At 38.6% G+C, this 18,039-nt stretch overlaps 1 protein-coding gene across 1 annotated transcript in view, besides 1 other annotated feature; it reads left to right on the plus strand.

The window, feature by feature from the left end:
* Positions 1–18,039, plus strand: part of FAM171B (family with sequence similarity 171 member B) — a 71,900-nt gene that overhangs the window by 36,219 nt on the left and 17,642 nt on the right. Inside the window, exons 2-4 of the mRNA NM_177454.4 lie at positions 9,950–10,183; positions 13,205–13,297; positions 16,814–16,972. Of these exons, the coding sequence (NP_803237.3) occupies positions 9,950–10,183; positions 13,205–13,297; positions 16,814–16,972 (486 nt within the window). The remainder of the gene's footprint in view (positions 1–9,949; positions 10,184–13,204; positions 13,298–16,813; positions 16,973–18,039) is intronic.
* Positions 3,999–4,755: an enhancer, noted in NCBI's record as "H3K27ac-H3K4me1 hESC enhancer chr2:187599004-187599760 (GRCh37/hg19 assembly coordinates)". NCBI's record gives its function as "activates a minimal SCP1, AML or CMV promoter by ChIP-STARR-seq in naive and primed H9 embryonic stem cells {active_cell/tissue: H9 hESC(naive and primed)}" and the evidence as "EXISTENCE:reporter gene assay evidence [ECO:0000049][PMID:30033119]".

The following is an 18,039-nucleotide window of genomic DNA, read 5'->3' on the forward strand; positions in this document are numbered from 1 at the left end:
AATTTCCTTGCCTTAAAATTGGGAAATGTCTTACAGGTGTGTATTAGGATGAAATTGGACAATATGTGTAAAGTTTCCAGCACTGGGCTGTATATGTGTGTGTGTCACACAAGTAAACATGTATGTATGTATGTATAAAACCTGTAATTTATTATGTCAGCTCTAACTGAGTGGCATTAAGGAGGAAACAACTGCAAGTCAGTTGTTTCCATTTTGAGCTAGAGAGGACCCTGTTAGTCAGGCCTGTATTATGCACTAAGTCTACTAAGCACTTTAAGATATAGATATAGGTGATCTCATCAGAGAGGGAGATTATGATTTGGATCATCAAGACTTGACCTTTGCAAATCTATTTTTTTCTAAATATGATATTTTCTTATCAGATTTATATTAACATTATTGCATGTGAAAAAAATAAAATCATCCATTCTGGATTAGAAAACGTTTTAGAAAACATTTTATAAATCAAATCCAGCTTCAGAATGTCAGGAGGGTTTTTAGTGTGTCTTATTTTGGCAACTGTACTTTTACAAGGATGAAACAGATGGAATATGCAGTTTTTTTTTTCTTTTGCGAATTTAGCTTAAGATCTTACCACACATTGAGATTTATCTGTAAATCCAAAGGCTCTGAGAATCTCTGAAATTGAACTTTGAAACAAATGAATTAATAAAAATTCCCTATTGAATATGCTGTTGAAGGAGCCATTGTAGGTACATTTGGTTTGAATAAGATCTGTTATTGAATTGGAATAGAGATCCTAATTCCCTTATGAGTTAGTTATGTTCAGTTTGTCTCTCATGCGGTTTATCATGTTTTTGGTACTCAACATTATCCTTAATTCCTTCACATTCTGTAACAGGTATCAATGTCTATAAAATAGTGGCCTAGTAAATAGTATCCTTTATTTACAGTTGTACATATTTAATGTGCTTACTTAAGGAGCAAGCAACAGAAACAAACTCTGGCTACAAGAAATGAAAGGGCTTTCTAGGAAAGATTATTATGTAGTTCACAGATCAGCTGGAAGGGCTGCACAACCCAGCTTCTGGAAGGAGAGGGACTAGGGAAGCACTAGAAAGCACAATGGTAAGGCCTCATAGACTTTCCAAGGTAATTCAGTTCCAGCAACCATTAGCATCTCTGTAACTGTATTCACATTTTGAGGTCCTGATAGAATCTATCTGGCTTATATTAGTTGGGTGCTTTATGCTAGTGGCTCGGTAAATTTTGACTGAAGGATTAGGGGCTGGGTGGCTGAGAGAATTATTTCAAATTGAGCAGCAGCTACTTTTTCTCTACACTTATAGTTTTTTATACTATCCAACTACTTATCCAAGAAAGCCCATCATGTCATATATATCGGGTCTGAAACCCCTGGGACACAGACAGATACAGATACTGAGACCTATCGGGAACTGGGCCTCACAGCAGAATGTGAGCGGCGGGTGAGTCAGTGAAGCTTCATCTATGTTTACAGCCATTCCCCATCACTCACATTATGGCCTGGGCTCCACCTCTTGTCAGATCAGTGGCAGCATTAGTTTCTCATAGGAGCATGAACCCTATTTTGAACTGAGCATGTGAGGGATCTAGGTTGCATGCTCCTTATGAAAATCTAATTCCTGATGATCTGTCACTCTCTCCCATCACCCTGAGATGGGACCATCTAGATGCAAGAAAACAAGCTCAGGGCTCCCGCTGAGGGGAGTTGTATAATTATTGCATTATATATTACAATGTAATAATAATAAAGTACACAATAAATGTAATGCATTTGAATCATCCTGAAACTATCCCCTAATGTGGTCCATGAAAAAATTGTCTTCTCTGAAACCAGAGTCTGGTGCCAAAAAGGTTGGGAGGCACTGATATATCTTACTATTATAACTTTTTTTTGTTGTTTTTTAAACCCAAGTGTTATATTTTCCATTTGAGTTTGAGGACATGGTTTGGCATGAGTATGTGTGTATATGGCCAGGGGGTGCTTTTTCTTTTTAATTGATGTTTTATAAGAATTTAAGTTCTCAATGATGATTGCAATCATATATTACTTGAGTTAATTTAGTAGTGTCACCCCAAGCCCCACTGTTCCATAGTTCCAAGATGGCTTTGGAGTCCTTCGTGGTGTTGGCAGTGGTGAATCCACATGGGTCTGCAGCCACCTCAGTTCTTGCCTTCCTAGAAGAAAGAATTCAACTGACGGGTGTAAGGCAGAGAGACACCAAGGCAAGTTTTAGAGCAGGCATGAAAGTTTATTAAAAGGTTTTAGAGCAGGAACAAAAGTAAAGTGCATGTGGAAGAGGGTCAAGCAGGCAACTTGAGATTCAAATGCACGGTTTGATTTTTGACTTGGGGTCTTATGTGTTGGCAGCTTCCAGGGTTGCTTTACTTCTGTGATTCTTCCTGCGGAGTGGGCTGTCTGCATGTGCAGTGGCCTGCTAGCACTTGGGAGCGGCTGCATGTGCAGTGTGTTTATTGAAGTTGTACACATGCTCACTTGAGGCATTTTCCCTTACCAGTTAAGTGTTCCTAGAGGAAGGTCATATTTCAGTTAAACTCTGCTATTTTACCTTTTAGTGCACATGCTTGGGCCCACTCACCCAACTCCTGAGATCTCATCAGGAAGCTGCTGATCACCAGTTTCAGATTTTCTATCTATTGAGAGACAGCCCTTCCCTGGTGCTGGTTGTGACCAATTATTATTATAGAGAGACAGTTTAACAACTGCCTGAACATTGCCTGATGTTTGCCTGACATTCCTGGTGAGGGTGGGTCCTCTCCTGCCTTGCTCATATCTGATTACCGACTGTAACAGTGCGTGTATTTGAAGGCTGACATGGCCTCTTACCATCTGTGAGACTTTGGTCAATTTTCATGACCTATCTGAATCTTCGTTTTTTGAAATCAATAAAATGGATTTGATGTTACAAATTTTACAAAGGTATATTGAGATTTTTGTGATCTATACATAGAATACTTGGGATATAACTGACCAATGGGTTCTTCTTGCCTACTTCCCAGTTAGAGCCAATTTATCAAGGCAGGGGAATTGCAATGAAGAAAGAGTTTAGTTCACACAGAGCCAGCTGAACAGAAGATCAGTTTATTTATTACTCAAATCAGTCTCCCCCAAGAATTTGGAGGTTTTTCAAAGATCATTTTGTCACAGGAGCCTTGGGGTGTCACTTTGCCAGCCAGAAACCTTTGTGGCTGGTGGCTCCTTTGCCCAAGTTTTGCTCAGGCCCACTGGGCTTGTTCTTCCCACTTGGCCCAGGAGGCTGCATTCAGCTCACACTACTGGCCTGGATCCCATGCCTGCCAAGGGTGAGCCAGGCACAGAACATTGAGGGGTGCATGAGTGAGTGAGTGTGGGTGAGTGGGGGGTGTGTGAATGAGTGAACAGCCACTGCACACAGCCAGACATACCAACTGTGACAGGGCAGGCAGCTCCAGGCACTGGCATGGGTGCTAACTCCCTGCAAGGCTGTGGCTGGAACAGGTGTACCTCAAGTGGCTTCCGCTACAGGCACTGGGGAACGCAGTGGCACCCGGGAGCTTGGAGATTCCAGGAACCACAGAACCTCAAAGAGGGTATCTCAGTCTTGGCTCAGGGAGCTCCTAGGTCTGGGCTCCCTGAAGGACTGCAGCTCTTCTCTTTCCTTCTTGTCACCAGCAATGTGGTGAGTAGAGGGGCATATTTCAGCCCTGTATGTGTTACAGCTCTTTCAGTCCCACCATTCAATGGGGACTGAGCTTTTATCCCACATCCAGGAAAAATGAAATACACAGACAACTGGAGGGTGAGCAAGGTGAAGAGTGCATTATTGAGTGAAAGTAGAGCTCTCAGGAGACTGTAGGATGGGTGTTATCAGTGTAGGTATAAATGATACCCCGAAGTGGGTAGCTCCTTCCCACAAGCAGGTCATCCCAATGAGTACAGCCCTCAGCAGAGAGGAGACCTAGAGTGGGTAGCTCCTATCCAGAGGCAGGTTGTCTCAATGTCTGTAGCCCTCAGCAGAGAGGAGACCCAGAGCGGGTAGGTAGCTCTTATCCACAGGCAGGTCATCCCGATGAGTACAGCTCTCAGCCTAGAGGAGGACTGGGGTGGGTAGCTTCTATCTGCTGGTAGGTCGTCTCAAAGAGCGTGCAGCCCTCAATGGAGAGAGGATACCTGGAGTGGGTAGCTCCTATCCATAAGCAGGTCATCACAACATCTCTGTGGCCCTCAGGTGAGAGGCGATCCAGAGTGGGTAGCTCCTATCCGCAGGCAGGTCATCCTGTCCTCTGCCTGAGTCTGGCTGAGTCCAGGGTTTTTATGGGCTTCAGATGGGCGGAAGTACATGCTGATTGGTCCATGAGTGGGCCAGGAAGATGCACCAGAAGTTCTCATTCTGGTCTGTGGAACTGGCAACCTGGCCCCCGTGCTTCAGGCCATACCTGAGGGGTGCTGAGGGGTACCCGCAATCCTGTGTGGAGCCACCCTCAGCCTCTGCTGTTTCCCACCTGTGGCCATGAGTGCCCAAAGTCCGGAAGGGGCCTAGGCGACAGGGGGCTGGCCTATCATTGCTGCCCCCAAGTGTGTGCACATCCAGCTGGGTTGCAAAAGTGCCTGTTCTTGACCACAACTTTGCTTTGCCCCAGGGCTGGCACCGGGAGCAGGGAAAGGCCAGACAGTGGAAGCAGGCACTTTCAAGCCTGTGAGGGAAGGGAGCTTCCTGGGCCCCTGAGAGCAGAGGGATGCTGGGGTCTGCAGCTGCAGCTGACAGGCTGCAGCTGTGCCCAGGAGTGTGGGCTCCTGCCCCACCAACTCGGTAGGGGCAGGGCTCCCTCTGGCCTTGTGGATTGTGCAGCCCCAGCTGTGCCTCCCCTGCTGCAGCTGGCATCCTCACAGTGGCTGCTCCACACGGGCTGTCACTGCCATCAGTTTGGGGGAAGCAGGGGACAGGGTGGCAGTGGCTAGGCAATGGGTGCTTTCTGCTGATTGGTTGGGTTGGAGATGAAATCATAGGGAGTCAAAGCTGTCCTCTTGAGCTGAGTTGCTTCTGGGTGCTGCCACTGGAGTGGTGGAGCCATCAATTCAGACATTAAAAAACCTGAAAAGACATCTCAAATGGCCAATCCTTAGGTTCTACAATAGTGATGTTATTTGCAGGAGTAATTGGGGAAATTGCATATCTTGTGACCTCCAGAAGAATGGCTGGCAATCTACACCTTAGAATTCAGGCTCCTCACATCCTCCTAACCCGATGATCTCATTAGCTTTATAAAGGCAGTTACATTTTGAGGAAGGGCTATTATTATTTAAACTATAAACTAAATGTCTCTCAATGCTAGCCCAGCCTTAGCCCAGGAATAATTAAGGCAGCTTGAAGGCAACAGGCAAGAGGAAGGGGGTTGGCCAGATCAGATCTCACTAACTGTTATAATTGTGTTATAATTTTCATAAAGGCAATCTCAGGCACATTTATTTATTCTTTACCTTCATCTTTTGATTTTAAATTGTTACAACCATATTTATTTTATAACAAAATACTATTAATGGGCTGAATTTATGATACGATGGAAAAATAGTTTGAGGAACAGCTTAAGACTCAAAGCTTATTTGGCCTTTTATTACTGAATGTTCTTCAATTTATCTCTTAAAAGTAGTGATACTAATGACTACTCAAAGTAATTTGACCTCTCACAAGGTTTTCTATTATCATTAAAGATGCAAAGCAGATGTGTGGATAAACTTTACTTATCTCTGTATCACCTTGGAATCTCTTCCTCATATTTACATTTGAATATATATGAGATTGTTGTTCAGGAAATTCAGTGTTTCAGACAGACTAATGGAACCTCATTTTAAGGTATGATTTGATATAATCTTCTCTTTGCTTTTCTCAATCAATTCTTCCCATCTTCACACTCTAAACTGAGATGATAATTGCTTTTAAGAGAGTAACCAGGCAGATGTAGGGCAATGGTTTACAAGCATAAACATTGATGAGAGATGTCCTGAGTTTATGTCCTGTTTCCTCCATTTACTGAGGGTTAGCCATGGTTCACTTTCAAACCTCTGCAACTCTCAGTTACCAATATGTATAAAATAAAGAAAACAACATTATCTCTTCCATGAGGTTTTTTTTGAAGAGTAAGTAGAATAACGCACTTAAAAACTAACACAACGCATGGCTTATTACCCTCAGCACATTTTAGTTCTTATTATGGTTAAAATTTTTATAAGAGGAGGTATACTGAAATATGTTTGTGGCTGTGTGTGTGTGTGTGTGTGTGTGTGTGGGAGAGAGAGAGAGAGAGAGAGAATGAGAATAGTGTTTGGATAACATTTAACGTTTTAGACTCTGGAAGGGATCAGAGCTTTTTTTTTTTTTTTTTTTTTTTTTTAGTTTGGTGGATTGAACCTTCCCTAGGACTGGGTGATTATTACAAAGGTTATATTTGTATTTGAAATGTCTTTGTTATGATCCAGAAGCAATTTAAGGTCCAGTTTAACAAAGAACGGACAAGGTATAACAATATTTTGATAGCAATATTGAGGCTCAGTCAACATTGACAAGAATTTTTTATCTGATTTGCTGTTCTTGATACAAATTTTGGGTAAAAATAGGTTTATGCAAATGTATTGCAGCATAATCTTTATATTTCTTATCAGTGTACTCTAATTTTTGTGAAGTGCTCTCTTATAGTGGAATAATAATTTTTATTACCAATCACATTAAGTGATACACAAGCTCTGTACTGGACACATTATTTCATTTTATTATCTCAAAGTAGCTAACTATTTTCCTGATTTTACATATGACCAAATGGACTTTGAGAGCTAACTTGCCCAAGGTCACATGTCTAGGGAATGGCAGAGGTGGATGGTGACTGACTCCAGAACCCGTTTACAGGGGAAGAGAAAGCATCTTTCACAGAGATGTGATACATGCTTACAAAGGCACTTTCATGGTGGTACAAGCTCTTTCTTAGGCAGACGTTATCAAGATCTGTACTTAAGGAGTAAGACCAGAGGTTAAAGTAAAAACAGGCTTTAGTTTTCATTTTCCTCAACATATGTTAGTTTCTTTTCTTTCTCTTTTTTTAGGAGACAGGGTCATGCTGTGTTGCCCAGGCTGGAGTGCAGTGGTGTGATCATGGCTCACTGCAGCCTTGACCTCCTGGGCTAAATCATCCTTCCTTCTCACCCTCCCAAGCAGCTGGCATGTGCCAGTACACCCAGCTAATTTCAAGTTTTTTGTAGAGACAGGGTCTATGTTGCCTAGGCTGGTCTTGAACTCCTGGCCTCAAGCAATCCTCCTGCCTCAGCCTTTTAAAGTGCTGGGATTACAGGCATGAGCCATCAAGCTCAGCCTTGTTTTCTTATATACCTAATGGATAAGGCTTTTTGATATTTTAGAGAAGGATTTTTGATATTTTGTATATTTGGCACTGAAAAACATCTTCTGCTTTCCAGACAACAGAAAAAAATAAAAGAGCTAGCCATGCAGTAGTGGCATTTTATTCTAAGAACTTTGACTACATTTGGAATGTGTTAAATCTATGTAACTTGAAAGTGTTACAAGATTTCCTACAGTGCTGCTTTGACAACCAGAAATCTCTGCAGCTGCCTCCGTCTGGGTGTTGCACAGCCCAGCAGGCTGTGCTCGGCTCGCGCCTGCTCAGATCCCACACCCGCTGTGGCTCCACGCTCAGCCTGTGGCTGGACTGGGCATGCCACAAGCGGCTTCTGTGTTGGGTGCTGGCATCTAGACTAGGGGAACATGGTGATCCATGTTTAGAGATGCCAGTGATCACGGAGCCCCAAGGGATGTTACAGCTCTTGCTTGGGGAGTCCTGAGGTCTGAGCTTCCAGAAATTTTGCAGCTTTCCACTCCCATAGCTTGGAGAGTGGGAGCATATTGCAGCTATTTTATTCCCACCGTCCACAGCCCACGGGGCAGAAGTTAGGGTTACAGCTTGTTTGTTTCTGCTGCCCGCAGTTTGGTGAGTTCCAGGTTCTTGTCCCATGCCCAAGAAGAATAAGGTACACAGACACTGGAGAATATGTAGGGCAGAGAAGAATTTTATTGAGCAACAAAAGGAAGGCTCTCGGTGGAGAGGGGACCCTGAAAGCAGGGTAGCCATCTGTGAGGCTGAGTCTGGAGTTTTTGTGGGCTTAGAATGGGGGAGTGCATGCAGAATAGTCCATGGGTCTTCTTGGAAAAAGAACCGTTCAGTTGGTTAAAAGGCATCATCCAAAAGGAACCAATCAAGAGACAGAGGGTAAGACAAAGATAGAAGTTCTCACTCTGGTCGTGGACTCTGTCCAGAACTGGCAGTTCAGTTTTTAGGTTTCAGGCTTTCTTTGGCTTGAAGGTTGGCACTGAAAGGGAACCCATTTTTGACTGTCTAGGAATTTGTCTGTCTCCTGTTGCTATTGATAGCATTAGAGTTAGTGAAACACAATAAAAATGTATTTTCCTTAAGAGAGAACCTCAGTCTTCACATTATTCACTGCTGTCCTTTCTTCTTTTTTAATTGATAGGAAAAAATGGAGTAATATTGTGCCTTAATAACAAATACAGCCATGTGTAACTTAACAATGACAATACACTATGAGAAATGCATTGTTAGGTGATTTTATTGTTTTGTGAACATCATAATGTACCTATACAAACCTAGATGGTATAGCCTACTGCACACCTAGGTTATATGGTATAGGCTATTGCTCCTAAGCTGCAAGTCTGTACAGCATATTACTGTACTGGATACTGCAGGCAATTGTAACACAATTTTAAGTGTCAGTGCATCTAAACTGACACTTATCTAAGCGTACAAAAGGCACAACAGAAAGACCATACAAAAGATTTTTTTTTAAAATAGTACACTTGTAAAGGGCACTTACCATGCATACAGCTTGCAGGACTGGAAGTTGCTATGGGTGTGTGAATGTGAAGCCCTAGGACATTACCGTATACTACTGTAGACTCTGCAAACACTCCATGGTGGTATACTTAGGTTATATTAAATTTAGAAAAAAATATTTTTCTTTCTTCAATAAGTTAACCTTAGCTTACTATAAGTTCATAAACTTACTGAAACTTAAACTTTTTGATTCTTTTGTAATAACACTTAGCTTAAAAGAAACACATTGTACAACTGTACAAATTTTTTTCTATCCTTATTTGATAAGCTTTTTTCTATTTTAAAAATTTTTTACTTTTTACTTTTTAAACTTTTTTTGTTAAAAACTAAGACACAAATATAAACATTAGCCCAGGCCTACACAGGGCAGGATCATCAATATTATTGTCTTCCACCTCCACATCTTGTCCTACTGGAAGGTCTTCAGGGGCAGCAGCATGCATGGAAGTGTCATCTCCCAAGATAACAATGCCTTTATTTTTTTTGGAATACCTCCTGAAGGACCTGCCTGAGTCTTTTTTACAATTAACTTTTATTTTTGTATGTAGAAGGACTGCATTGTAAAATAATGATTAAAAAGTATAGTAAATTCATAAACCAGTAACGTAATCTATTATCAAGTTTTATATGCTGTACCTAATTATATATGCTATACTTTCATACAACTGGCAGCACAGGTTTGTTTACACCAGTATTACCATTAACACGTGAGTAACACATTGCACTGCAACACTATGATGGCCATGACGTCACTAGGCAATGGGAATTTTTTAGTGCCATCATAATCTTCTGGAAGATTATATATGTGGTCCATCATTGACTGAAATGTTGCTATGGAGCACTTAACTGTATTGAAATTTATTTCGTTTTACAAAGAATAATGAATTCTTCATTATTATATGTATTTATGTGTAGTTCCTAAGTTTAACAACAGTTTTGTACTGTTATTTAGATATGTTGAATGACATTTAAAGACTATGACATATGCATTCTAGGATACGACATGCTGCAATTTCTACCTTTTTCTCTCCAGTGTCTGTATTTATGTTGAAAGTCCAGGTGAATGACATCATCAGTCGTCAGTACCTGAGCCAAGCAGTTGTAGAAGTGTTTGTAAACTACACGAAGACAAATTCCACAGTAACTAAAAGCAATGGAGCAGTGCTGATAAAAGTACCCTACAAATTAGGACTTAGTTTAACTATTATTGCTTACAAAGATGGCTACGTGTTGACCCCTCTGCCTTGGAAAACCAGAAGAATGCCAAGTAAGCACTTAAACAGTTTTTTTTTGTTTGTTTTTGCTAAATGTAAATGAATTATTTTCTCTGTTTGGGGGATATCTTGTTCTGGTAAGCTGAAAATGAAAATGCTTAAGTCAACATAAGGAGGTTACAAGGGAGTGCTACTTTGAAGAAAACATTGTCTTAGTCTTTTCAGGCTGCTATAATGAAATACCCTGAGCCGGGTAGCTTGTAAACAAGAGAAATTTATTTCTTGCAGTTCTGGAGTCTGGGAAGTCTAAGATCAAGGTGCCAGCAGATTCTGTGTCTGGTGAGGGCATTTTTGTTTATAGATGACATCTTCTGTGTCCTCACATGGTAGAATGGGCAAACAAGTTCTCTTGGGCCTGTTTTAGTTCTGAGAAGCTGCTTGCAAGCAAGGGTCTTGTGTCCCAACAGGTAAACTATCTGAAACCTCCCTAACATATTATTATAGATTTATTTTTAAGAATTGGCAAAAATAATCTTTAAAGAATAAATGTGTAAAGATACATGGGAATCTTTTAAAAATACATCTCCTAGGGGCAATTTGCCATTACAGACAACTAACATATTATATATCTACAAAATTAAGAGTGAGTGATATTATGCTATAAGTTGTATTATGGTACAAATTGGACACTTAGTATTTATAAAATGTTATCTATGATAAGATGCCATTAGAAATCATTGAGAAAAGGTTGAATAGTCATTAAATGATAGATATATTTTGGTTAACTATTTGGAATAAATTAATTGGATCCATATGTGAAAATATATTGCTTAGAGAGATCAAATGTGGAAAATAATTATATTAAATATAAGAAAATAAACTATCTGACCTTTCAGTTAGGATGGTCTGTTTAAACTTAAAAGCAATAAAAGATGCCATAAGCTATATATGAACATATTATTTTAATAAAGTCCTGTATGTCATAAACATAAAAAGCAACTGAGGTTGGAAAAATATTTGAAACAGTAAGGCATAAAGTCCTTAATATGTAAAGAATTCATACAAATCAATAAGAAAATGCCAAGACCCTAACTAAATAAGGTAAATGGACAAAATCATGGCCTATCAATTTTCAAAACAGGAAATACAAATGGTTAGTACATATGACAACATGCTTTAATAATCTAAGATTAGTACACCAAAGAAATACACACTTAGATTTTTTTACCTTAAAAAAGTTGTTAAATGATTATCTTTAATATTGTCAAACAAGATAGGATCAGATTCTCAAACATTCTTGGTAGAAGTACAAACTGGCAAAATTACCTCGGTAACAATTTTTGAAATGTATGTGTCAAAGTCTTCAAAATCTTCATAAACTTTGACCCAGTATTCACTTTATGAATCTGCACAAATAAACGTATGTTAAAATATTAAATACAGTGGACAGGCGTTCATGCACCAGGAAGCTGATGCAATATTTTTGTAATAATAGTGAAATGGAAGCATTCCAAATCTATTGGATTAATGCAGTAAATAAGTAAATCTTGATACCTTAATAAATGAAATATGTGGGTTAAAAATGTTATGAAAAGTATCTTTTGAGAGAAATACTTATGTTATTAAATGAAAAAGGCAGGGTAACAGTATTCTGTAACAATATCATAATTCACTATTTTAAAAAATCACAGGAATACCCAACAAAGAGCTATAATAAAATATTATTAATGATTGTTCCTATGGTGGTGTTGCAGTGATCATCACTTTCATCTTATTTTCTGTGTTCAAGTTTTTCACCATGGGTATTACATCCCATTTATAATAGGAAACAATTTTCACGTGAAAAGAAATCTGAATGTGTTTGAAGTTCAGAAAGATTCTCCTCATGTTTAACAGAGGTGTGACTGAGAAAGTATCCAAATATGGAATAATGCCTTACTTATAATCACCTTGAGGTTCAAACTGTGACCCTCCCACCTCTCCAATTTAATCCATTAATCAGTCTAAATGTTAATATATTCTGAAATTGAAATTACATTTTTATTTGGTAGTTCTCTTTTCCTATGGAAGGAGAAAAGTATATTTCCTTTTACTTCCACCCATCATTGTATACTTTTTGTATTTTACTTTTTTCCATATTTTCTTTAAATTCTTTGAAATATCTCAAAATAATAAAAGTATTTCCATGCAACTGTGTTTTCTCTTAAGAGATTTGAGGATGCCATGCTATTTCTATTAATTTTAAATACACAGCATAGAGGAAAGATATCAAACGAGAACTCGTGCTTTGGGAGCTCCTCAAAACTGATTTTTCTTTTGGAGGATTGAGAACTCCTCAAAACTGATTTTTCTTTTGAAGGATTGATAAGTTTGATTTGATCTTGCTTATAAAATGGTCTTTTGTCCCAGCTTCTTGCTCCAATCTTGAAATAATATCTTTCAGGTAATCTGCATTTAACTCATCCCAACAGGTAGTTCAGCTGCCTATGCTTGTAGGCAGGTTCATCTCCATCCTGCATTACTACTAAAGGTTGCCTTTGAATCATTTTGTGCATTAAATTGTTTCCTTCTCTGCCAACTCAGGATCCTTTTGGCAAACCACACTGTTTGCAGAAGAGCATTGTGCTCTTATGTGGGAAGGTAAAAGTGAAAAGTGGATATAGTTTATATCTAGAGAAGCTTGAATCATGGAGCCAAGAAAAAAAATTTTTAAATCTTAATAAGTAAAAATTAGAGAAAATATATCAGGGAGTTATTCAAGCATTTAACTTGATCATTTATATCTGGGGTTACAGAACATCATTCATCACCTTGGTATAGACTACTACCATCAAATAGAAAAGATTAGTAAAATAAATAGTGATAACCAATGTTTTCTTCTCACTTTATTGTGACCTTTTTTCCTCCATCATATTTTACATTCATTCTTCCTTTGTTTTGAATTGCTCTTCCCATCAAGCATTTGTTCCCCCCCACAACACACTTTTTGAGACTTGCTGTTACAGAACTATATTTGTCCTAGTTTTTTTCCCCTCACATTAAGTAAAATATTCTAATTGTGCTATATTTCACAGTATATTCATCAGTTACACTTTCACTGTTCCCGCAAAGCCAAGCAAATATATGGCTATTTGAAGACACTGTTTTAATTACTGGAAAATTAGCTGGTAAGTACCATACTTCTTACTAAGTAAACACTTAAAGTTATTGTCGTATAACTGTACTTCTTCACTAAGAATCAGTGTGAATTATAACTTGAGAAAAATCTAAATTGATCAGTATGATTAGCACTGACTATAAGTTGATCTGAACTGATATTTTACTGTCAAATGAATGGTGTGGGCTTTTTTGTATAGCAGGAGTCATTTTTTCCTTTACTATTTTAGCCCCTCAAACAGGCACACTGTAGAGAACTTCTGTTCTTCTTTCCAAATCACATTTCTTACTGGGGCTTCCATGGTGGGAGAAATTGAGGAAAGGGCAGGACACATATTGCTCAGGCCTTTGGGGCTAATTTACAGATTGCCTCCTTCCTGCCTCCAGCATTAAATTTGTCGCTTTTTGGGAGATGCCTAAGACTTGGTAGTTAAGTATCTGCTCTGTAGACGTGATTTGCCTCACTTGTGTATCCCAAGGAGAAGAGTGCAGAAATCATGTTTTGGGTACTGATTCAAACTGTGTCCTCCAATTCTGCTTTACCAACCATGAAGATGATTGTTTCATCCTAACTCCCCGCACGCCTTAGAAACCTCAGAATTCTGTGACTCTTTTATTGCATATTTTAGGAAACCTCTATAAATGACAACAATTTGCTTGTTTGTTTTGTATTGGTAAATTCATATTTAGGTCTAAAGTATAACAGGAATGACTGATAAAGTGAGAAAGCCCTCAAGGTGGAGTCCAGTAAGAGCGTCATGGTAAAAAGAACTCTCTGTGAAAGTTCTTTTCATTTTTAGATGCTGCCTTATCTATTCCTAAAATATTCAACCAGAAAATTTACTATTATTTGGGAAAAAAATAAACTAGGGCTTGATGAATCTTGAAGCAATTTACTGAGTGAGGCTGTAGAATCTCTTACTTATGAAATACCAAGACATTTGAAATACCAAGATATTTGCCAGATTTTTTTTATCTTTGAGACAGAGTTTCGCTCTTGTTGCCCAGGCTGGAGTACAATGGCACAATCTCAGCTCACTGCAACCTCTGCCTCCCGGGTTCAAGTGATTTTCTTGCCTCAGCCTCCCAAGTAGCTGGGATTAAAGGCATGTGCCACCACACCCAGCTAGTTTTGTATTTTTAGTAGAGATGGGGTTTCTCCATATTGGTCAGGGTGGTCTTGAACTCCTGACCTCTGGTGATCCACTCGCCTCAGCCTCCCAAAGTGCTAGGATTACAGGCATGAGCCACCGTGCCTGACCAGCATTTTTTTTTTTTTTTTTTGAGACAGTGTCTGGCTCTGTCACCCAGGTTGGAGTGCAGTGGTGCAATCTCGGCTCACTGCAACTTCTACCTCCTGGACTCAAGTGATCCTTCCACCTCAGCCTCCCAAGTAGCTGAGACCACAGGCGTGTACCACCACGCCTGGCTAATTTCTTATTTTTCGTAGAGATGGGGTTTCACCATGTTGGCCAGGCTGGTCTCAAACTCCTGACCTCAAGCGATCCGCCCATCTCAGCCTCCCAAAGTGCTGGGAGCTGCCATGACTGGCCTTGCCAGAATTTTGAGCTAGTGATTTTTGCTGTGTATGGCAGAATGGTGGATGTGGAGCTGTGTGTGAAAGAATGGAAAGTAAATAAGAATTACAAGTATACAGAGAGGCTCTGTTTAATGCTATTGGGGCCTTAATGAAATTAGCTTCTTCACAGTCCCTCTTCAGTGTTTGTTTTGATGCATCTCTGCCCCTCACTGGCATCTTCAAACCCCATTAACAATCATAGTTTCTGCTGGAATACATGAAATGGATCTGTGTGACCATGTCCCGTACCAATCCTTTGCCACTGTACCAAGCAGTGGTAAGCACTCATTTGTCTGGAAAGTACTGGCCATGCCTTGGCAGGTTTCCGTGAGAACACTGTGAGTCCTCTTGAATTCTCAGATCACTTCCTTTTACTGTCTCATTTTCCTAAAAGGTGACCCATTTGTAAGGCCAGGCAGGAAAGTATGAATGTTTCATAATGATGTTAAATCTTTCTGTAAAAAATACATATCCTTACTGCTGAACTTCCATAACATGTTTCATTAGGTTTGTACAGTGGAAATTAAGCCTGTGTGTTTATGTATTTATGGCAAAAGGAGAAACTAGAAAATTTAGGAATGTACAAAACCTTACAGAAGCTCAGCTAGACATTTTGTTTAGTGTGCATGTGTTCAGTTGTAAGAAATGTGGTCTTCAAAATAATTAAGCCACGTATTTTAAAAGAGCAAGTCATAGGTAGTACCTGTGAGTGATCAGAAGGCTTTAGATTGTATCCTCAACAACCAAACAGCATATAATTATGTTACTTTTCTTAACTGTTTTCCAGGTATTATTTTTCTAGCTTCACACACACAAAAACTATAAACTGAGAAGTCTTACATTGTTTCATTTATCATTTATTGTCATGTAGCTCTTTAAAAACTGATGTCTTTTCTATTCTAATAATTTAATTGATTGCTTCTGTCTTCATCAGTGACCTTACTAAAGTTCAAAGCAAAAGCTGATGTTTCTGATAATTTTCAGGTGTAAGAGTTGATCTTTGAATTATTAAATTCAAAATCTGTTGATTACAGAAATATCAATATTGTCACTGAATTATCACTTGATAAATAATGTTAGAAGATACTGAGATATTTATACTTAGGAAAAATTCAGTTACTGAGATATTTATAAATTGAGTACCTGGCATTTGAAAGGCTTTTAATGCATGGTTAGTTAACTGATAGAGAAACTTACCCACTTAAGTATGTGGCTGAATATCATCAGAGACACTTTTCTGTTGCAAGTTACTGAAAACCCAGTCCTAATCTGGCTTAAGCCCAAAATAAGCATTTATTTATTTCTCTTATAGATGTTAAGTGTAGGAATAGGACGAACTTTAGACATGGCTCGATCACGACTTCAGTAGAAATAATTGAAAACTGGTTCTCTATTACTCAACTCTCCACTATTTGAATGCTGCCTCGATTTTTAAACAAGCTTTCATTTTTGATTGCAAGATGGCTGTTACAACTCCTGGATGTATACCTGCTCACATTAAATCCAGTCCAAGCAAAACACACATTGTATCTCATTAACTGTGCTTGGGACAGGGCCCATCATTGAACAAATCACTGTGGCCAAGAGAATGAGATGCTTTTAATTGGTTTCAGCCCATTCTGGCATGCACCATCAACTCCACTACCGTTACAGAAATGAGACCCCAAATGAAACACATGGGCTAAAAATGGTCAGTTTGGGGTTCCCCAGAGTGGAAAGAAAAGGGTGAGGAAATTCTGGGCAGCAGAATCAATCAGTACAAAGGTGCCTTGTGTCATCTAAAGAAATGAAAATTTCTTAGTTCTGCATTTAAAATAATTACATGAGAAGATGCTAATGATGTTTAGCAATAATTATAATTGCTTCTTTTAAAGTAAGACATCCTGACCAATGCTGCTATGCTTAACATGCCTTTATCTCTTTGTTAATGAGGTTTCCTTTTTTCCAGATGCCAAGTCTCAACCAAGTGTTCAGTTTTCAAAAGCCTTAATTAAACTTCCTGACAACCATCATATTAGCAACGTTACTGGCTATCTTACAGTTCTACAACAGTTTTTGAAAGTGGACAATTTTCTGCATACAACTGGAATTACTCTCAATAAACCAGGTATTATCTACTTTTTGTATAATATAGTTATAAGAAACATTAGTACACAAATCTTTCATCAAATATTTAGCTATCTATAATAGCTTATAATATATAAGCTATGGATAATACACATCATTTGAGACATAAATCTAGTTATTAAAATGTATATAATAAAAAATTCCCTTTAATGAAATATATCTTATTCAATGAAAGAAAAATTCAGCATACATTATTTCAAATGCATGGAAATTTTGATTTCTTTTAAATTTATTAAATTTTATTTGATCCAAAGCAGGTAAGGTATAGAAAATAGTTATGATTATTGTATAGCTTTGAAAATTTAATACATTCAAAAATTAAAATTCAGTTTGTATTTTTTTCATAATTTGATGTATTCATTTTTATCCAACTGATGAGAAGTGTCAATAATTGAGATAGAAAAAAGTTTATAGATTGGAGTAAGCTATTGTAAATATTTGCTATTCTCTGTGTAAAATATAAATATTGAAAATATATGTATTCTAGAGTCAACAGCACTCATATATTTCTATAAGGCTGTCATAATATAATTTCTATAAGGCTGTCATAATATAAAAGTTAGTGGAACAATGGAATTTTACATTTAAAAATACATTCATAAATAAACCCTTTACAAACATCATTTCCCTCTGTACATCCACACTTGTTCCACCATTTTTTTTTTCTTTTGAGACAGGGTCTTGCTCTGTTTCCCAAGCTGGAGTGCAGTGGCATGATTTTGGTTCACTGCAGCCTTAACCACCAAGGTTCGAGTGATCTTCCTACCTAAGCCTCCCAAGTAGCTGGGACTACAGGCATGCACCACCACACCCAGCTAATCTTTTTTATTTTTTGTAGGGATGGGGTTTCGCCATGTTGCCTAGGCTGGTCTTTAACTCCTGTGCTCAACAATCCGCCCACCTCAGCCTCCCAAGGTGCTGGGATTACAGGCATGAGCCACCTCGCCAGGCCTGTTCTACCATTTTTACCACTCATTGTAACCTAACTGAAAATCCACTGTTTAAAATCACCTCAAACAGTCTATAATTCTGATAGTTTCTTTTTTT

Source organism: Homo sapiens, chromosome 2, assembly GCF_000001405.40.
Source record: "Homo sapiens chromosome 2, GRCh38.p14 Primary Assembly".
NCBI lineage: Eukaryota > Metazoa > Chordata > Mammalia > Primates > Hominidae > Homo > Homo sapiens.